The 18,216-nt window shown below is 38.7% G+C and overlaps 1 protein-coding gene across 13 annotated transcripts in view; it reads left to right on the top strand.

Annotated features, from left to right (window-relative positions):
• ACAP2 (ArfGAP with coiled-coil, ankyrin repeat and PH domains 2) overlaps positions 1 to 18,216 on the top strand; it is a 168,276-nt gene that overhangs the window by 13,162 nt on the left and 136,898 nt on the right. Inside the window, exon 2 of one of the 13 annotated variants that reach the window (XM_047447835.1) lies at positions 16,943 to 17,013. The exons of the other annotated variants lie outside the window; for them this stretch is intronic. The gene's annotated coding sequence lies outside the window, so the exon portion shown is untranslated. The remainder of the gene's footprint in view (positions 1 to 16,942; positions 17,014 to 18,216) is intronic. 13 annotated transcript variants of the gene reach the window in all.

Here is an 18,216-nt window from a genome sequence, read left to right as displayed (position 1 = left end):
AATGGATCATAGATCTAAATGGAAGACCTAAAACTATAAATCTCTTAGGAGAAAACATAAGATTAAATTTTTGTGACCTTGAATTAGGCAATGGTTTCTTAGATATGAAACCTAAAGTAGAAGCACCCAAAGAAAAGAAATTAAAAAGTATTAATTCGTGTTCATAGTTTTTTTCTTGATAAAAACTTGCATACATTGAAATGCACAATTGTACACTACCCGTCACCTACACCTCTGTCACGATACAGCCTATTTTCCATCTTCCCAGAATGCTTCCCCCACCACCTAAAGACAACCACTGTTTTGCTTTTTTTGAACTTTAGATTAGTTTTGCCTATCGTTGAACATTATAAATAGATTCTTATGGTTTGTATGTCAATTATTATTCTCAGCGTTTTGGTACTTTTGCTTAGCATTTTAACTATGAGATTGATCCATGTTTTTCTGTGTGTCACTAGTTCATTTTTTTTTTTTTTTTTTGAGATGGAGTCTTGCTCTTTTGCCCAGGCTGGAGTGCAGTGGTGCGATCTCAGCTCACTGCCTCCTGGGTTCAAGCTGTTCTCCTGCCTCAGCCTCCTGGATAACTGGGATTACAGGCACACACCACCACACCCGACTAATTTTTGTATATTTAGCGGAGATGGGGTTTTATCATGTTGGCCAGGCTGGTCTCGAACTCCTGACCTCAAGTGATTCACCCACCTCAGCCTCCCAAAGTGCTGGGATTACAAGTGTGAGCCACTGCACCTGGCCAGTGTCACTAGTTCATTCTTACTGCTGTGTAGTATTTCTTTGTGAATGTACCATAATGTATTCATTCTCCTGATGATGGATAGATTGCTTCCATTGTTTGATCATTGTGAATAAAGTTGTTACGAACATTCTTATACAAATTTTCTTACGGTAGGTTTTCATTTCTCTTAAGATAAATACCTAGGAGTTGAATTGCTGTGTCAAGGGGTAAACGTGTTTATAAGAAACTGCAAAGCATTATTCCAAAGCGATTGTACTGTTTATAAATCTGCCAACAATATTTGAGTGTTCCTGTTGCTCCACATTCTTGCTAGCATTTGGTAATATCACCTTTTGATATTACCCATTGTGTGAGTATATAATATATTCCTGCATGTGTGTGTTTAATTGCAGTTATGTGTTACTTAATGACGAGAATATCTTCTGAGAAATGCATCATGATTTTGTCATGTAAACATCATAGGGTGTATTTACACAACTTAGATGGTATAGCCTACTACACATCTAGGGTATATGATATAGCCTCTGGGTCCTAGGATACAAACCTGTACAGCTTGTTATTGTACTGAATACTGTAGGCAATTTTAACACAGTGGCATTTGTGTATCTAAACATATCTAAACATAGAAAAGGTACAGTAAAAATATGATATTATAATCCCATGGGACCGCTGTTGTATTTGTGGTCTGTTGATTGGAATATGACTGTGTGTGTATATATATGTATAGACCTATATATATGAGTGTGTGTGTGTGTGTATATATATATACACACACACCTATATATATGAGTGTATATATATCTATGTATGTATACCTATGTATGACTGTATATATACATCTATATAATATATATACCTATATATATGACTGCATATATACATACATATAATTATGACTATATATGTATACATGTATGTATATATATACAGTCACATTCCAGTCAACAACAGATTGTGTCATATATTCTATTAAGTTGTTATGACATAATACTGCTTAGTCCTGTTTTGGACATGTTGATACCCTGCTTTTCTGGATTATTGATAATTTGGTAACAATTTTATGTTACTTTTCTAGAGTTTAGACTAATTATCTTTTAGACGTGTGTGTGTATATATATATATATGCATCTGTGTGTGTGTATGTATACATACAGACACAAGCACATATAATTGAATGCACCTGTTTTTTCTTTTTTTTGAGATGGGGTCTCACTCTGTCACCCAAGTTGGAGTGCAGTGGTGTTATCTTGTCTCACTGCAACTTCCACCTCCCAGGCTCAAGTGATCCTTCCACCTCAGCCTCCTATCAGGGAACACAGGTGCACACCACTACATCTGGCTAACTTTTTGTATTTTTGGTAGAGATGAGGTTTTGCCATGTTGCCCAGGCTGGTCTCAAACTCCTGAGCTCAGGCTGTCCACCTGCCTCAGCCTCTCAAAGTGCTAGGATTACAGGAGTGAGCCACTGCGTCCGGCCTAGATATGTTTAGATACACAAATAACATTGTGTTAACAATTGCCTACAGTATTCAGTAAAGTAATATACTGTACAGGTTTGTATTCTAGGAACCATATAGGCTATACCTTGTACCTTAGGTGTGTAATAGGCTACACCGTCGAGGTGGCTTGTAGTCTGTGATGCTTGCCCAGTGAAGAAGTCATCTAACAGTGCACCTCCGAGAAGGTATCACCTTTGTTAAATGATGGATGACTAGCTTTTTATTGCCGTTATAGCAAATTACCCCAAACTTAGTGGCCTAAAACGACACAAAATGATTTTACAGTTCTGGAGATCACAGTTTTGATACAGATCTCACTGGGCTAAAATAAAAGGCCAGTTGGCAGGGCTGCATTCTTTTCTGGAAGGTCTAGGGAAGAATCCTTTATTTTAGTTTTTTATACCTTGCCTTCTCCAATTTCAAAGGGCTGCCCATATTCCTTGGCTCATGGCCCCTTTCCATCTCCAAAGCCAGCAGTGGTTGTGATACTCCCTCTTCTATCCTCCTCTTTTACTGATAAGGACCCTTGTGATAATGTTGGGCTGACATTCCAGAATAATCTCCCAATCTCAAGGTCAGATGATAGCAACCTTAATTTCCCTTTGCCGTGTAACCTAACGTATTTGCGGGTTCTGAGGATTCGGATGTTGACATCCTTGGTGGGGGCGGGTGGCGGGGGGCATTATTTTGTCTACCACAGTCCACCCCCTGGCTCCCCAAAATTCACCTCTATTCCACATGCAAAACATATTCACCCCATCCCAATATCCTCAAAAGTCTCAACACTGATTTGTAATCTTGCCAAAGATCTAATCTGTGCTCATTGGTTTACATATGACCTTATAATCATAGTGCAAATTTTGGTGGCTTTGCTATTTTTAATTTAATAGTATAAATGTTTAATATTGTTAGGAAGTTTTTTCTTTTTTCTTTTTTGGACTACTCAGTTGCCGTAGTGAGAAAGGGGAAGAGTAGAACTAGCCAGGAAGGTTTTATGGCTAAAAAAAGACTGCATCGTATATTCTGTGAAGTTGTTGTGACATAATACTGCTTAATCCTGTTTTAGATGTGTTGATACCCTGCTTCTCTAGATTATTGATAATTTGATAACACTCTTAGGTTACTTGCTTTTCTGAAGAGTTTAGACTAATTATCTTTTAGAATGGCCCCCTTCCTGAATTTTTCTGATTGTTTCCTTGGGACAGATACAGTTTAAACTTTTTTGGCACGAATACTCATTGGTGATGATGCATTGTGTCATCTCCACCTGGAAACCCAGGATGTTTGCCTGTCTTCCTGTTGGGAATGCAAGGTTTGACCACTGGAGTCATGGGTAGGAAAGGGTGGATAGCAGGTGGTGGTGGTTGTGGGGAGAAGCTTGTAGATTAAAGCCTCAGGGAGAAAGGAGCTTGATCTTCAAGGAACGGAAGGAAGGCCGATAGGGTTGGAGCAGGGTGTGCAAGAGGAAGGGATGGTTAAGAATTAAGATCAGAGGTAGGCAAGGATGAGGTCATGTTAGGCATTATAATTCATCTGTAGTGATGAGTTTGGATGTTATGGTTAGTGCAATAGGAAGCAATTAGAAAGCTTTTAGCAGTGGTGGGAGATAAGGTTTATGTTTTAAAAATATTTTGAGTACTGTTTGATAATGGGCTGTATGGGGGAAGAGTGAATGCAAAGAGACCACGCAGGAAGCCATTGTAGGAAACTAGTTATCAGGCTGGGCCAGGTGAGAGACAACTTGGGAGATAGTTGAGAACATTTTTTCATAGCATCAAGAAGAGTTGATGTTGAATTTTTTTATAGGGAATTAGAAGAATAAAAAAATCGCATTTTTGGCTTTAGCAGCTGGGTGGATGGAGATTCTGTTTATTGATAAAGAGGAAGACAAGGGAAGAATAGGTTTTTTTTGGAAAAAAGTCAAGAGTTATATTTTTTACATGTTAAGTTTGAGACACCTAGTAGACACTGAGGTAGAGTTGTTAAATAGGGCTGGCATTGCTGTGCAGCCTTGTGTAATTTACTTTAAAAACTGATGTGATCCCATCCTATATTCACTTTTAGATGGTAAACTTTTTGGGACACAGACCACCATGTCTTTTTATTCCTTTGTTCTTGAGCACGATTTCTTGCACACAGTAGATAGGCAACAGGCTTTTACTACCAATAAGTACTTTCTTAAAATAGTTATACATTCTCCATTTTCACATAACATACTATAATTTTTATTTGAGGAATTTTTCTGTTATTGTACAATTGATGAATTGCAAAACGATAAGTAATATATGACACCTGGGGTCTTATTTAAATTTCCTTTTACAATGTAGTAACTAAGTCAGTCCAGAATCGTTAAGTCTTGATGGGTAGTTGTCATAATTCTTGAGAGACTCTGACTAGTCTAAGCTACCAGGGTATTTTTATATGAGGGCTCTAAGGAAATGTTATATTTAATTTCACAAACATTTTGACACACTTAACTATTCAGATGATACTTTTAGTTGTATAGCAAATTTAAAAAATGTGTTTGATATCCTGCTACCTCAATCAACTCTTTTTTTTTTTTTTTTTTTTTTTTTTTTGAGACGGAGTCTCGCTCTGTCGCCCAGGCTGGAGTGCAGTGGCGCGATCTCAGCTCACTGCAAGCAATCAACTCTTAAAACCTTTTTTTTTTTTTTTTTTTTTTTTTTTTTAAGACAGGGTCTCACTCTATCACTCAGGCTGGAGTGCAGTGGCACAATCATGGCTTACTGCAGCCTTGACCTCTTGGCTCAAATGATCCTCTCACCACAGCCTCTTGAATAGCTGGGACTGCAGGTGTGTGTCACTGTGCCCAGCTAATTTTTTAAATTTTTTGTAGAGACGAAATCTCACTGTGTTGCCCAGGCTGGTCTTGAACTCCTGGGCTGAAGCTATCCTCCCATCTTGGCCTCCCCAGGTGGGATTATAGGCGTGAACCACCGCACCTGGTCTTAAAATTTTTTTAGTTGACTAAAAAGTAGTCAAAACTGGCCGGGCGCGGTGGCTCACACCTGTAATCCCAGCACTTTGGGAGGCCGAAGCAGGCGGATTGTCTGAGGTCAGGAGTTCAAGACCAGACTGGCCAACATGGTGAAACCCCGTCTCTACTGAAAATACAAAAAAAATTAGCTGGACATGGTGGGCAGGCGCCTGTAATCCCAGCTACTTGGGAGGCTGAGGCAGGGGAATTCCTTGAACCAGGGAGGTGGAGGTTGCAGTGAGCTGAGATCACGCCACTGCACTCCAGCCTGGGTGACAGAGCGAGACTCTGTTTCAAAAAAAAAAAAAAAAAAAAAAAAAAAAATATATATATATATATATATATACACACACACACACACACCACACACACACACACACACATATGACCATTCTAAGTATTTTATATATATTAAATCATTTATTCACAACTCCGAGATATATGCTATTTATACTAGGGGACAGAGAACACAACTATTAAGTGGTAGGAGGGGATTTGAACTCTGTCATTTCTGCTCTGAATCTTGAACCATCTTCAGTAGAATCTAAGCCAGGAGTTGGTAAACTATGGCCTGCGTGATTTGTGGATATGCATGCTATGTAGTCATACAGGGACCCACCCTGAGAAAGGCCCTGTGCTTGGTTTGGTTCTCTGCTGTTACTATTTTGAAATTCTTAATAACTTTTAAACAAGAGGCTCCATTGTTTTTTTTTGTCAATAGTCCCTGCAAATTATATCATCATTTCTACATGTGTGCTAAGTTTTTACATTTTAAAGTTTTAAAAAAAATTTCATGACACATGAAAATTATATAAAATTTCAGTGTGTGTAAATAAAGTTTTATTGGAATATAGCCATGCTTATTTATTTACATATTGTTTATGGTTGCGTTTTTTGCTACAACGGCAGAGTTGAGTAGTTGGAACAGGGACTGTAGGGCCTGCAAAACTTAAAATAGTTACTCCTTTTTTTTTTTTTTTTTTTTGAGACGGAGTCTTACTTTGTTGTCTGGGCTGGAGTGCAGTGGTGCGATTGCGGCTCACTGCAACCTCCACCTCCCAGGTTCAAGCGATTTTCATGCCTCAACCTCCCAAGTAGCTGGGATTACAGGCGCCTGCCATCACACCCGGCTAATTTTGGTAATTTTAGTAGAGATGAGGTTTCACCATGTTGGCCAGGCTGGTCTGGAACTCCTGACCTTAGATGATCCGCCTGCCTCGGCCTCCCAAAGTGCTGGGATTAGAGGCATGAGCCACCATGCCCGGCCGAAATACTTGTACAATTAACAGATCCAAGAAAGGATTGTACAGTGAACATCTGTCTAGCCTTCATCTAGAGTTACCGGTTGTTACTATTTTGGCACATTTGCTTTATGTGTGTCTCTATCTCTTTATCTTACATGCATGTATAATAGGTATATAAAATACATCTCACATGTACTTTTTTTTTTCTGAATCATTTGAAAGTTTGACCTGCAGCTCGTAAAAATAAGGACATTCTCCTACATAACCACATTTATAACACTAAAAATAATTTCATGTTGAAATGTTCCCATTTGTGCCTGTTATGTCCTTTATGACTAATTTTACTAGTTTTATTCCTTTGAATCAGTATTCCATCAAGGTTCATGGAGTGGGTTGCTTTTTCATTACATTTAGCCAGCTGTTCATTCCTGTTTCTTTTAATTCATCATATCATTGGAATGATTTAAAAATCATGAAAAATTTGGATTATGGTGGAGCCTAGGAGAAGTCTCAGTCGTATCTGAGGCCTTGGATTTGAAGAAGGGCCAAATCATGCAAGATATTTTATGTCATGTTAAGGATTTTGGAGGCTCATCATAGAAAACATAGTGAGAAGCTCTTAAAGAGATGTGACATGTTCAGATTTGCATAGTACATATGACATTGACTTTTAACCTGGGCAACATGGCACGACTTTGTCTCTACAGAAAATTAAAAAAAAAATTAGCCAGGTGTAGTAGTGCATGCCTGTAGTTCTGTAGCTACTGGGGAGGCTGAGGCAAGAGAATCACTTTTGAGGCTGCAGTGAGCTATGATCGACGCACACTGCACTCCAGCCTGGGCAACAGAGCAAGACTCCATCTCTAAATAAAAAAGAAAACAAAATGGACTTTTCAGGCAAAATATTTTAGCATGTCACAATATGGAACAAAAAGATACAACCTTGAGGAAAACTAAGTGTAAAAATACTTTCAGAGACAGTAAGGGAGAGTCAATCATGAAATGAGAGTGAGACATTAAGGATTTTTTGTTATTATTATGTGTGATAATGATAAAGAGGCTCTGTTAAAAAATCTTATCTGTTAAGGATCAATAAAATAATACAGCATCTAGGATTTGCTTTAAAATACATCAGTTAAAAAAAGGGACAGGAGTATATGAAGCAGGAATGGCAAAGTTCTGATCATTGAAACTAGGTATTGGGTACAAGGGAGTACATTATACACTTCTCTGTTTTTGTGTCTTGATTCATTTCATAAGAGGTTAAAAAACATAACCTCTGATACCTCATTTTTTTTCGATACACAAAAAATGAACTGGAAGGTTAACTTGTATGTGAAAGTTGTCTGGTATCCAAAACTTCCATTTTGGATATAACAGAATAGCAGAAATGTTCTTTATATAATAGTGTCAAGATGTATATAACAAAGGAACTTGTTTCTAAATATTTGGTTAGGAAAAGAATTCATAGCAAGAATAACTTACTATATATTTCTGAATCTCTTGAAAAGAACATATTTTAAGGTATTTAGAAATAATCTTTCCAGGTGAAGTATGAAAGGAAATTAAAACAAAAATCTTGCTTTTACAGTATTCATTTAAAAACTCAAATCTTTTAGGTATGGAAGAAAACTAACTGTGACAATAGAAAACTTCCGTACAAATTACAAAACTGTTTAATTCAAACCACCACTCACAATTGTACAGCAACTATTGTAGAGGAGATTTCTTGCTCATCAATCAGCTATTGTGTAAGCAGTATGTAATCTTTCCTATGACTACAGCACTAATGCATTACTAGTACTGCTTTCCTATGATTCCAACAAATACAAACAATGGCATCTCTTTTGGTTTGAACGCAGCAGCTGTATCCTGGCGACAGGTGCTAGTAGTGATCATTGAGGTAAAAGTAAGACACTGTTATGAAGGTAGAGTTTGATCCTAAGAAAGATAACGGATGACTTTGTGTCAAGATCTTTGCCTTCTATATTATGAATGTTTTCATTTGGTTTATTTTAATGTTTATTTCATCATTTGAGAAGTCAAATAGGCGATGCACATCAGAATCACCTGAGGAGCTTCTTCCAAAATGCCTTTGTTTGGACTCTGCCCCAGACCTACTGAATGAAAACTTCTAGAGGTGAATAGGACTCAGGCATAGATACTTTCAAAATGCTGTCTAGGTGATTCTGATGTGAACCTTTAAGGACCACTGTTCTAAAGGTCTCAGAATTATCAGGCTGAATTACATATAATTCATTATATATAAACAGATAATAATAAAGCACAGTGATTTTTAGTCCTTTCCTCTGTTTAACCTAATGGTTAAAAAGGCAAGGCATAGTTTTCCATTGGCTGTCTATAACCCTATTCCTTATTCTATCACTATAGAACAAGTAAATCATTCAAAATTGCAATAGGGCCAGGTGCGGCGGCTCACACCTGTAATCCCAGCACTTTGGAAGGCTGAGATAGGTGGATCACTTGAGGTCAGGAGTTGGAGACCAGCCTGGCCAACATGGTGAAACCCTGTCTCTACTAAAAATACAAAAAATTAGCTGGGCATGGTGGCTCGTGCCCGTAATCCCTTCTACTTGGGAGGCTGAGGCGGGAGAATCACTTGAACCTGGGAGCTGGAGGTTGCAGTGAGCTGAGATGGCGCCACTGCACTCCAGCCCAGACAGAGCAAGACTCCATCTCAAAAACAAAAACAAAATTGCAGGCCGGGCGCAGTGGCTCACGCCTGTAATTCCAGCACTTTGGGAGGCCGAGGCGGGTGAATCACGAGGTCAGGAGATCGAGACCATCTAACACGGTGAAACCCCATCTCTACTAAAAGTACAAAAAATTAGCCGGGTGTGGTGGCACGCGCCTATAGTCCCAGCTACTTGGGAGGCTGAGGCAGGAGAATGGCGTGAACCCGGGAGGCGGAGCTTGCAGTGAGCCGAGATTGCGCCACTGCACTCCAGCCTGGGAGACAGAGTGAGACTCCGTCTCAAAAAAACCAAAACAAAACAGAACAAGAAAAAGATATAATGAAAATGAATAAAATAATTCAAAAAGTCCTCCAAGCGTGTGTATACATTAAATAAAGTTAGGAACTTTATACCAGTAAGCAGATAGGAAATAAGTAGAGGTGAAATTCCATTTATATTAATAACAAAAACTATAAATAGAAATGAAATTAACATAAAATTTATAGGACTTCATAATTTATAAAACAACTATAAAACTTGACAGAAAGGGGGAAATATGAGTAAGGAATCATATCTGTTACATGAAGACTCGACATTGCAAAAGTATAAATTCTTTCTAATGTATAAATATAAATGCAATGTCAGTCAGCATTTTAAAGTTTATATAAAAGAACAAACATGCAAGACTAGCCAAGATTTTGAAAAATAAGAGCAATGAGGACAATGTCCCATATCAAACTTTAAAATGTATTGTTGAAGTATAGAGATTGATCCTAGAACAGACAGATGAACAGAAGTTTTAAAAATCCAAAGACAGACTCCGATGTATGTAAGACTTTAGAGAATGGTGAAGGTGTTATTTAAAATCAAGGGGAAAAGGATAGTTACTAGATAATAATGAGAGACAACTGGCTGTTTGGGTAGGTTACATACATTTCCCTAGAATAAATTTTAGATGGAGTAATGCTTTAGATGTTAAAATTGAAGCTGTGAATGTAGTATTGGAAAATATACATGAAAATGTATGCTAGCTTGGGACCAGGACAGTCTGTCTAAGCATGACACCAAAGACAAATGCCTTGAAATAGATTTTACTATATAAAAATATTACCCCTCCCCCTGGCTGGTCTGAAGGTAGTCAGTGATCTCAGTTGATTGTTCAGTCAGTTACAGATTGATCTCCTTGTTCTGCTCCTTCCCCTCTTCTCACTACTGCATTTAACTAGTCTTAAAGAAAAAATTTCTTCTCCCCCAGTAAGTGAAAGATAGGAAAATATTTGAAAAAAAGTGAAATAACTTTCAAATCCTATGTATTTGGAGAGCACGGAAAAATGTCCTGCAATTCCAGTTGAATGAAATGTTGCATATAGGCCGATCTACCCAGACAGAAAGTCGATTAATGGTTGCCTAGGGCTGGGCGCAGGGAAAGAGGTAATGGGAAGTGACTGCTAATGGGTATGGGATTTCTTTTTGGGATGATGAAATGTTCTAAAATTAGACTGGGGTGATGGGTGCACAACTCTGAGTATATTAAAAACTATTGAATTGTACACTTCAAATGGGTATGGTATTTGAATTTTGTCTCGATAAGGCAGCTAAACATTTTTTTATGCTGATACTACCTCAGTAGAAAATGGGCTAATATCATAAAAAAAGGAAATTGAAGCAAAGAAACAGAATAGAAAACAATACAGTCTCTTGCAAGCATCTCCATGTTATTATATAGTGTCTCAATATTTTTGAATAGCCCCATATATAATATTTAGGGTGTGGTAGTCACTACAAAACACTTATGTAGGACAGTGTTTTTATCTGGACTTATTGTTTATCTCTTTAATAGTTAAGCAACTATTATAAACAATCTTGAAGCTGCGTTTTAAGGCAGACCGAGCAAGGACCTGAAACAAGTTAATGGCAAATTGATAGAGCAGTTACTTGGCCTGGGTGCGGTGGCTCATGCCTGTAATCCCAGCACTTGGGGACGCCGTGGTGGGAGGATTGCTTGAGGCCAGGTGTTTGAGACCAGACTGGGCAACATAGCCTGACCTGTTTCTACAAAAATTGAAAAGTTAGCTGGGTGTGGAGGCGTGTGTCTGTAGTCCCAGCTACCTGAGAGGCTGAAGCATGAGGTTGGAGAATTACTTGAGCCTTGGAGTTTGAGGCTGCAGTGAGCTGTGATGGTACCACCGCACCCCTGCCCTGGCAAGAACAACAAAACAGCAGTTTCTTCCTTTTTGAAGGAAATTCTACCTTTTAATCCTTTGAGCTAGGTTTTGCAGCTTTAATGGTGAGCAAGACTCCTGTCTCTGCCCTCATGTAGCTTGTCATATTGGGATTATTGAAAAGCAGATGGACACTTAAATTACAGTGTAAGTGATATAATTTAAGTGAATCCTGGGAACTGTGGGAGAGGATGAGAAAGACCTCTGTCTTGCATAGGAAAGGAAAGCTTCTTAAGGTAAGGAATATTTAAATTGACAGGTGAAAGACGAATTTGGAATTACCAACGTGAAGTACAGTTTAAGAAGAGAAGAGGGCTTCTGGCAGAGAGAACTGTAAGTCCAAAGGCCCAAATGCAGGAAAAGTATAGGATGTGGAAGACGGAGGCGTTTTAAATAAGGGTCAGATCATGGGCCTTTTGAGTCACATTAAGGACTGTAACCTGAGGATAGTGGAGTGCCATAGAAAAATATTAAGTAGTAGGTGATACTATCTTTTTTTTTTTTTGAGACAGGATCTCCCTCTGTCACCCAGGCTGGGGTGTGATTGTGGCTCACTGCAACCTTGAACTCCAAGACTCAAGCGATCCTCCCACCTTAGCCTCCTCAATAGCTGGGACTACAGGTGCATACCACCATGCCTGGCTAATTTTTAAAATTTTTTGTAGAGATGGAGTTTCTGTATGTTGCCCAGGCTGGCCTTGAACTCCTGGGCTCAGGTAATCCTCCTACCTTGGCCTCCCAAAGTGCTAGGATTACAGGTGTGAGCCACTGTACCCAGCTGTTGACAGTTTCTTGATCATATTTATGCTTCTTAAAGAACATGGTACTTGCAGTGTGTCGACGTCATTAACTTCATTGGGGCAAGAGAGTCCTTTAGAAGGTGGTTGCTATAATCCAGGTGAGAAGAAATGATGGTCCGCTTTTGGTAGTTAGTGGAGATAAGAGTGAGATAGCATCAAGGTATTTAGGAGGTAGAATGATAATAGGACATTGTGATTGCTTGGATATGGGGCATGAGGAAGAAGGAATTCAGGATGATGTCTAGATTTATGTCTTGAGCAACTGTGAATGGTGTTGCTGCTCACAGAGAGAACAACAGATTTTTGGAGAATTTGATGCCCGTTTTTGAGTTATGCATGGTACATTCAGGTAGAGATGTTCATTAGGCAGTCTGAAAGCTCTGAGAGAGATCTAGGTTGGAGATAAAGATTTGAGGCCAGGTGTGGTGGCTCATGCCTGTAATGTCAGCACTTTGGGAGGCTAAGGCGGGAGGACTGCTCGAGGCCAGGAGTTCACAACCAGCTAGGGCAACAATGGGAGACCCACTCACTGCAAAAAGTAAAAAAAAAAAAAAAAAAAAAAAAAAATTAGCCAGGCATTGTGATGCCCAGCTGTAGTCCCAGGTATTCAGGCGGCTGAGGCAGGATTGCTTGAGCACAGGAGTTGAGGCTGCAGTGAGTCATTATTGTGTCACTGTATTTCAGCATGGGTGACAGAGACCCTGTCTCTTAAAAAAAAAAGACTTGAGATCTTGATATTTATGGTCTTGAAGGCAAATTGGTTTTTACAAGTGAGGATAATTTCTTTTACATTTTAAGATAGATACATATTAAACTTAAGTTGAAAGAGCTGCTCTTTTGTTGGACGTGTTCTTCTAGTGTTGTGAGATTCAACCAAATTGACACATTCCTTTAGTTTTATTTTCAAAGTTTTTGTGCTACTTGGAAATTCATTATAAGAAAATACTTCATTGCAGTTATCCATTGTCTTCTGGATATTCATTTCCTATTTTTCTTTGTGAAAAATGAACACTGTGTTCATAGTGTTAATATGACATTTCCATGTATCTTTGTGCACATGTGAGAGCTAGGGAGTGAACTACCAAGTTGAAGGGTATGTGCCAAATGCTTTCTAAAGGTGTTATATCAGTATACACTCCTACAAGCTATATAGGAGATGGTGTATGTTTCATATCCTCTCCTATGTTTTGTATGGCCAGATTTTAAAACTTTTGCTAATCTGATGGATGTGAAATGGTATTTCGTGATTTTAAATTTGTGTTTCTTAACCGATGGTGATGTTGAGGATTTTTTTTTTTTTTTTGACGGCGTCTTGCTCTGTCACCAGGCCAGAGTGCAATAGCGCAGTCTTGGCTCACTGCAGCCTCCGCCTCCTGGGTTCAAGCGATTCTCCTGCCTCAGCCTCCCAAGTAGCTGGGACTACAGGCATGTGCCACCATGCCGGCTAACTTTTTGTATTTTTAGTAGAGACAGGGTTTCACCGTGTTAGCCAGGGCGGTCTCGAACTCCTTACCTCATGATCCTCCCACCTCGGCCTCCCAAAGTGCTGGGATTACAGGCGTGAGCCACCACGCCCATCTGACATTGAGCATCTTTTCATGTTAATTGTTCATTCATATTTCCTCTTCTATAAGTTGCCTATTTATATTTTCTTCTTATTTTTCTATTGGCCTGTTTGTCCATTTCTTTTTGATTTGTAGAATTTGTAGATAGTCTAATCCTTTGTTAATAAAAATCACACCTCCCAATCTGTGGGTTGTATTCACCTTTTTAGCGTTTTTTTCATCCTAAAATTTCACCTTCTATGACTTGAAATTTTAAAAAATTTACTGACTCATAAAAATACATTTATCATTTTGCATATATATTTTATTTTTTCTAAATAAAGTTTTTATCTTTTGCACATACAAAAATTTATCAAATCAGTGGTATGCAATAAAGTCATATATCTGAAAATATTTAAAAATAAATGATACAAGTGTCAGTAAGTGGTTTATCTGGTATCTCTTTAATAAAAAGAACTTACCTTTTTTGGCTGAAGACAATATTTACTTTTTTAAAAAATGGACTTGGCTGGGCATGGTGGCTCAGGCCTGTAATCCCAGCACTTTGGGAGGCCGAGGCCAGCAAATCACGAGGTCAAGAGATCGAGACCAGCCTGGCCAACATGGTGAAATCCCGTCTCTACTAAAAATGCAAAAATTAGCTGGGCATGGTGGTGCACGCCCGTAGTCCCAGTTACTCGGGAGGCTGAGGCAGGAGAATCTCTTGAACGTGGGAGGCGGAGGTTGCAGTGAGCCATTGCAGCACTGCACTTCCAGCCTGGCAACAGAGCAAGACTCCATCTCAAAAAAAAAAAAAAAGACTTTTTTAGAGCTGCTTTAGTTTCACAGCAAAATTGAGCAGAAAGTACAGAGAATTATTATATTCTCTGCTCTGACACATAGAACCTTCCCCACTATCAACATCCTGTACCAGAATGATACATTTGTTACAAGCATTGAGCCTACATTGATACATTATTATCACCCAAAGTCCATGGTTTCCATTAACGTTCATTCTTGATGTTTAGATAAATGTATAATGACATGTAGCTACCATTATAGGATCATGCAGTTAGTTTCGCTGCCTTAAAATTCTCTGGGCTTTACTGATTCATCCCTCCCTTTACCCCAACTCCCAGCAGCTACTGATATTTTTACTGTCTCCATAGTTTTTGTCTTTTTTTAGAATGTCATGTTGTTGAAATACAGTGTATAGCTTTTAAAGATTGGCGTCTTTTACTTAGTACAGGTTAAGTATCCTTTATCTGAAATGCTTGGGAGCACAGGTGTTTTGGGTTTCAGATTTTTTTGATTCTGGAATATTTGGATTATACTGGTTAAGCATCTCTAATCCATGAATTCAAAATCTGAAATACTCTAGTGATCATTTTCTTTGAGTGTCATGTGGTTGCTCAAAAAGTCTCAGATTTTGTAGCATTTTGTGTTTTCTATTTTTGATTTAGGGATGCTCAACCTGTAATGTAAGGTTTTTCCATTTCTTTTTAGTGCTGAATGATACTCTGTTGTCTGGATGTACACACCTTATCCATTCACCTAGTGAAAGACATCTTGGTTGCTTCCAAAGCTGGTGTAACATCCCTGTACAGGTTTTTGTGTGGATATGTTTTCAGCTTATTTGGGTGAATACCAAGGAGAGTGATTGCTGGATAGTGTGGCAAGAATGTATTTCGTAGGCTGGGTATGGCAGCTCATACCTATAATCCCAGCACTTTGGGAGGCTGAGGCAGGAGGATCACATTAACTCAGGAGTTCGAGACCATCCTGCACAACATAGTAAGATCCCATCTCTTTAGAAAATAAAAAGTATGTATTTCTTTTTTAAAGAAACTGCTTAACTGTCTTCCAAAATGGCTGTGCAATTTTTCTTTCCCATCAGCAAAGAATGAGAGTTCCTTTTGCTGAACATCCTCACCAGTATTTGGTGTTGTCCATGTTCTAGATTTTGATCATTCTAATAGGTGTGTAGTGGTTTCTCCTTGTTTAATCTGCAATTCTCTAACGACATATTATGTGGAGTATCTTTTCACCTATTTATTTGCCATCTGTGTTTCTCCTCCTCTTTTCTTTCTTTTTTTCTTTTTCTTTCTTTTTTTTTCTTTTTTTAAAGAGACAGGGTCTCATTCTGTTGCCCAGGCTGCAGCGTAGTGATACAGTCATAGCTCATTGCAGCCTCAAACTCCTGGGCTCAAGTTATCTTCTTGCCTCAGCTTCCAGAGTAGCTGGGACTACAGGCGTGCACCATCACGCCTGGCTTGTCTGTGTATTTTCTTTACTAAGGTGTCTGCTCAGGTCTTTTGCCCAGTGGGTTTCTTTGTTTGTTTTTGTTTTGAGAGACAGAGAGCCTCACTCTGTTGCCCAGGCTGGAGTGCAGTGGTGCGATCTTGGCTCACTGTAGCCTCCGCCTCCTGGGTTCAAGCGATTCTCCGTGCCTCAGCCTCCTGAGTACCTGGGATTGCAGGTGCACCACCACACCCGCCTAATTTTTTGTATTTTTCGTAGAGACAGGGTTTCGCAATGTTGGACAGGCTGGTCTCAAACTCCTGACCTCAAGTGATATGCCCGCCTCAGCCTCTCAAAGTGCTGTCATTATAGTCATGAGCCATCGTGTCCGGCCCCCTTTTGCTCAGTTTTTATTTGGGTTGTATGTTTTATTGTTGAGTTTTAAGAGTTCTTTGTATATTTTGGGTAACAGTTCTTTATCAGAAATATACATATAATTTTTTTTGGTAAATATTTTCAGTCTGTGGCTTCTCATTGCCTTAAGCAATATTTACTTTAAAATAAATGTGAGACAGTTTTGTCTGTTGACTATACTTTTCTAATGAACTGATGAATGTTGTGACATAAGAAATTAGACTGTGGTGTACCTCAACCAAAGAAAATACGGCAATAGCAATACAATTTTAAATAAGCAAAGACTTTCAACCAAAACTACTTACAAAAGGAACAAAGTTTAAATGCCTTAAGGTCTAAATTTAACTGTGGAATATGACAAAAATCACATTAACTGTTCAACCATGAATATTTTAATTTTTCTTAAATATTTAAAATGGAATCTTCTGTTACTCTGTGTCCTCTTATCCTGCTTTTCTTAAAAGCACTTGTAATACCTTACATGTATACATATTTCATATCTGTTTACTAATTGTGTTTCCTTCACTTAGATGCCGTGAGAGCAGGGGCTTGTTTTACCGCTTGCTGTTTCCTAAGTCTCTAGTACAGTGCGTGACATCCAGTAAGTGCTCAAGGAATTTTTTATGAGGAAACAAAAAACACAACTTATACTCTACTATTTAAGTTATTTTTTAAATTACTACTTATTTCAAAGGCAGTTACGGTTTTAATTTGTTATCTTCAAGACTGATTTTACAAAGACTTCTTGTAGCTCAAAAGGGCTTAAAATCTCTCCTTATTACTAACTACTGCTTCAAATTTCACATTTCATAATCTTATTTTTTATTTTATTTTTTGAGGTAGAGTCTTGCTCTGTCACCCAGGCTGGAGTGCAGTGTGCCATCTCAGCTCATTGCAACCTCCGCCTCCCGGGTTCAAGCGCTTCTCCTGCCTCAGCCTCCTGAGTAGCTGGGACTACAGGCACCTGCCACCACGCCCAGCCGATTTTTGTATTTTTATTTTATTTTATTTAACTTTTTTTTTTTTAATAGTAGAGATGGGGTTTCACCATGTTGGCCAGGCTGGTCTCGAACTCCTGACCTCAAGATCTGCCCACCTTGGCCTCTGAAAGTGCTGGGATTACAGGTGTGAGCCATCACACCCTGCTCACATTTGATAATCTGAGCAACAAATTATGCCACCTAACAGAGTATAGTATAAGCCAATTCTTCTTCTTTATTTATTTTTTGCAATTTACTCATGTAACAAGCCAATTCTTTTTTTTTTTTTTTTTTTTTTTTTTGAGACAGGGTCTCACTCTGTGACCCAGGCTGGTCTTGAACTGGAACTCCTGGCTTCAAGCAATCCTCCTTTCTTGGCTTCCTAAAGTGCTGGGATCATAGGCATGAGCCACTGCACCCAGCCCCCAATTCTTATTTTTAGCCAAGTGTAGATTCTTAAGCATTTTGCTGGCAGGTCTGTGTGGTAAGTGATGATATAATCCTTTACCATTATCAAGATCCAGCTTAAAAACAATTTGTTTTTGACATTCATTGTGAGTTTTTTTTTTTTTTCCTTATTACTAAATAGAGACAGGGTCTTGCTTTGTTGTCCAGGCTAGTCTCAAACTCCTGCCTTCAAGAGATCTTCCTGCCTTGACCTCCCAAAGTGCTGGGATTACAGGCATGAGCCACCACTCCTGGCCTTACAGTGTGAGTTTTAATGCTGCATATTTATTTTATTTTGTTAATTATCTGTAAGTCTCTCCGTGGTTTGATCTAGAAATTTATTCATTTGGAATTGGCCTGTACTAGGAATATGCCAG

This window comes from Homo sapiens, chromosome 3, assembly GCF_000001405.40.
Source record: "Homo sapiens chromosome 3, GRCh38.p14 Primary Assembly".
In the NCBI taxonomy this organism is placed as follows: Eukaryota; Metazoa; Chordata; class Mammalia; order Primates; family Hominidae; genus Homo; species Homo sapiens.
This window is presented reverse-complemented; position numbering and strand designations above follow the sequence as displayed.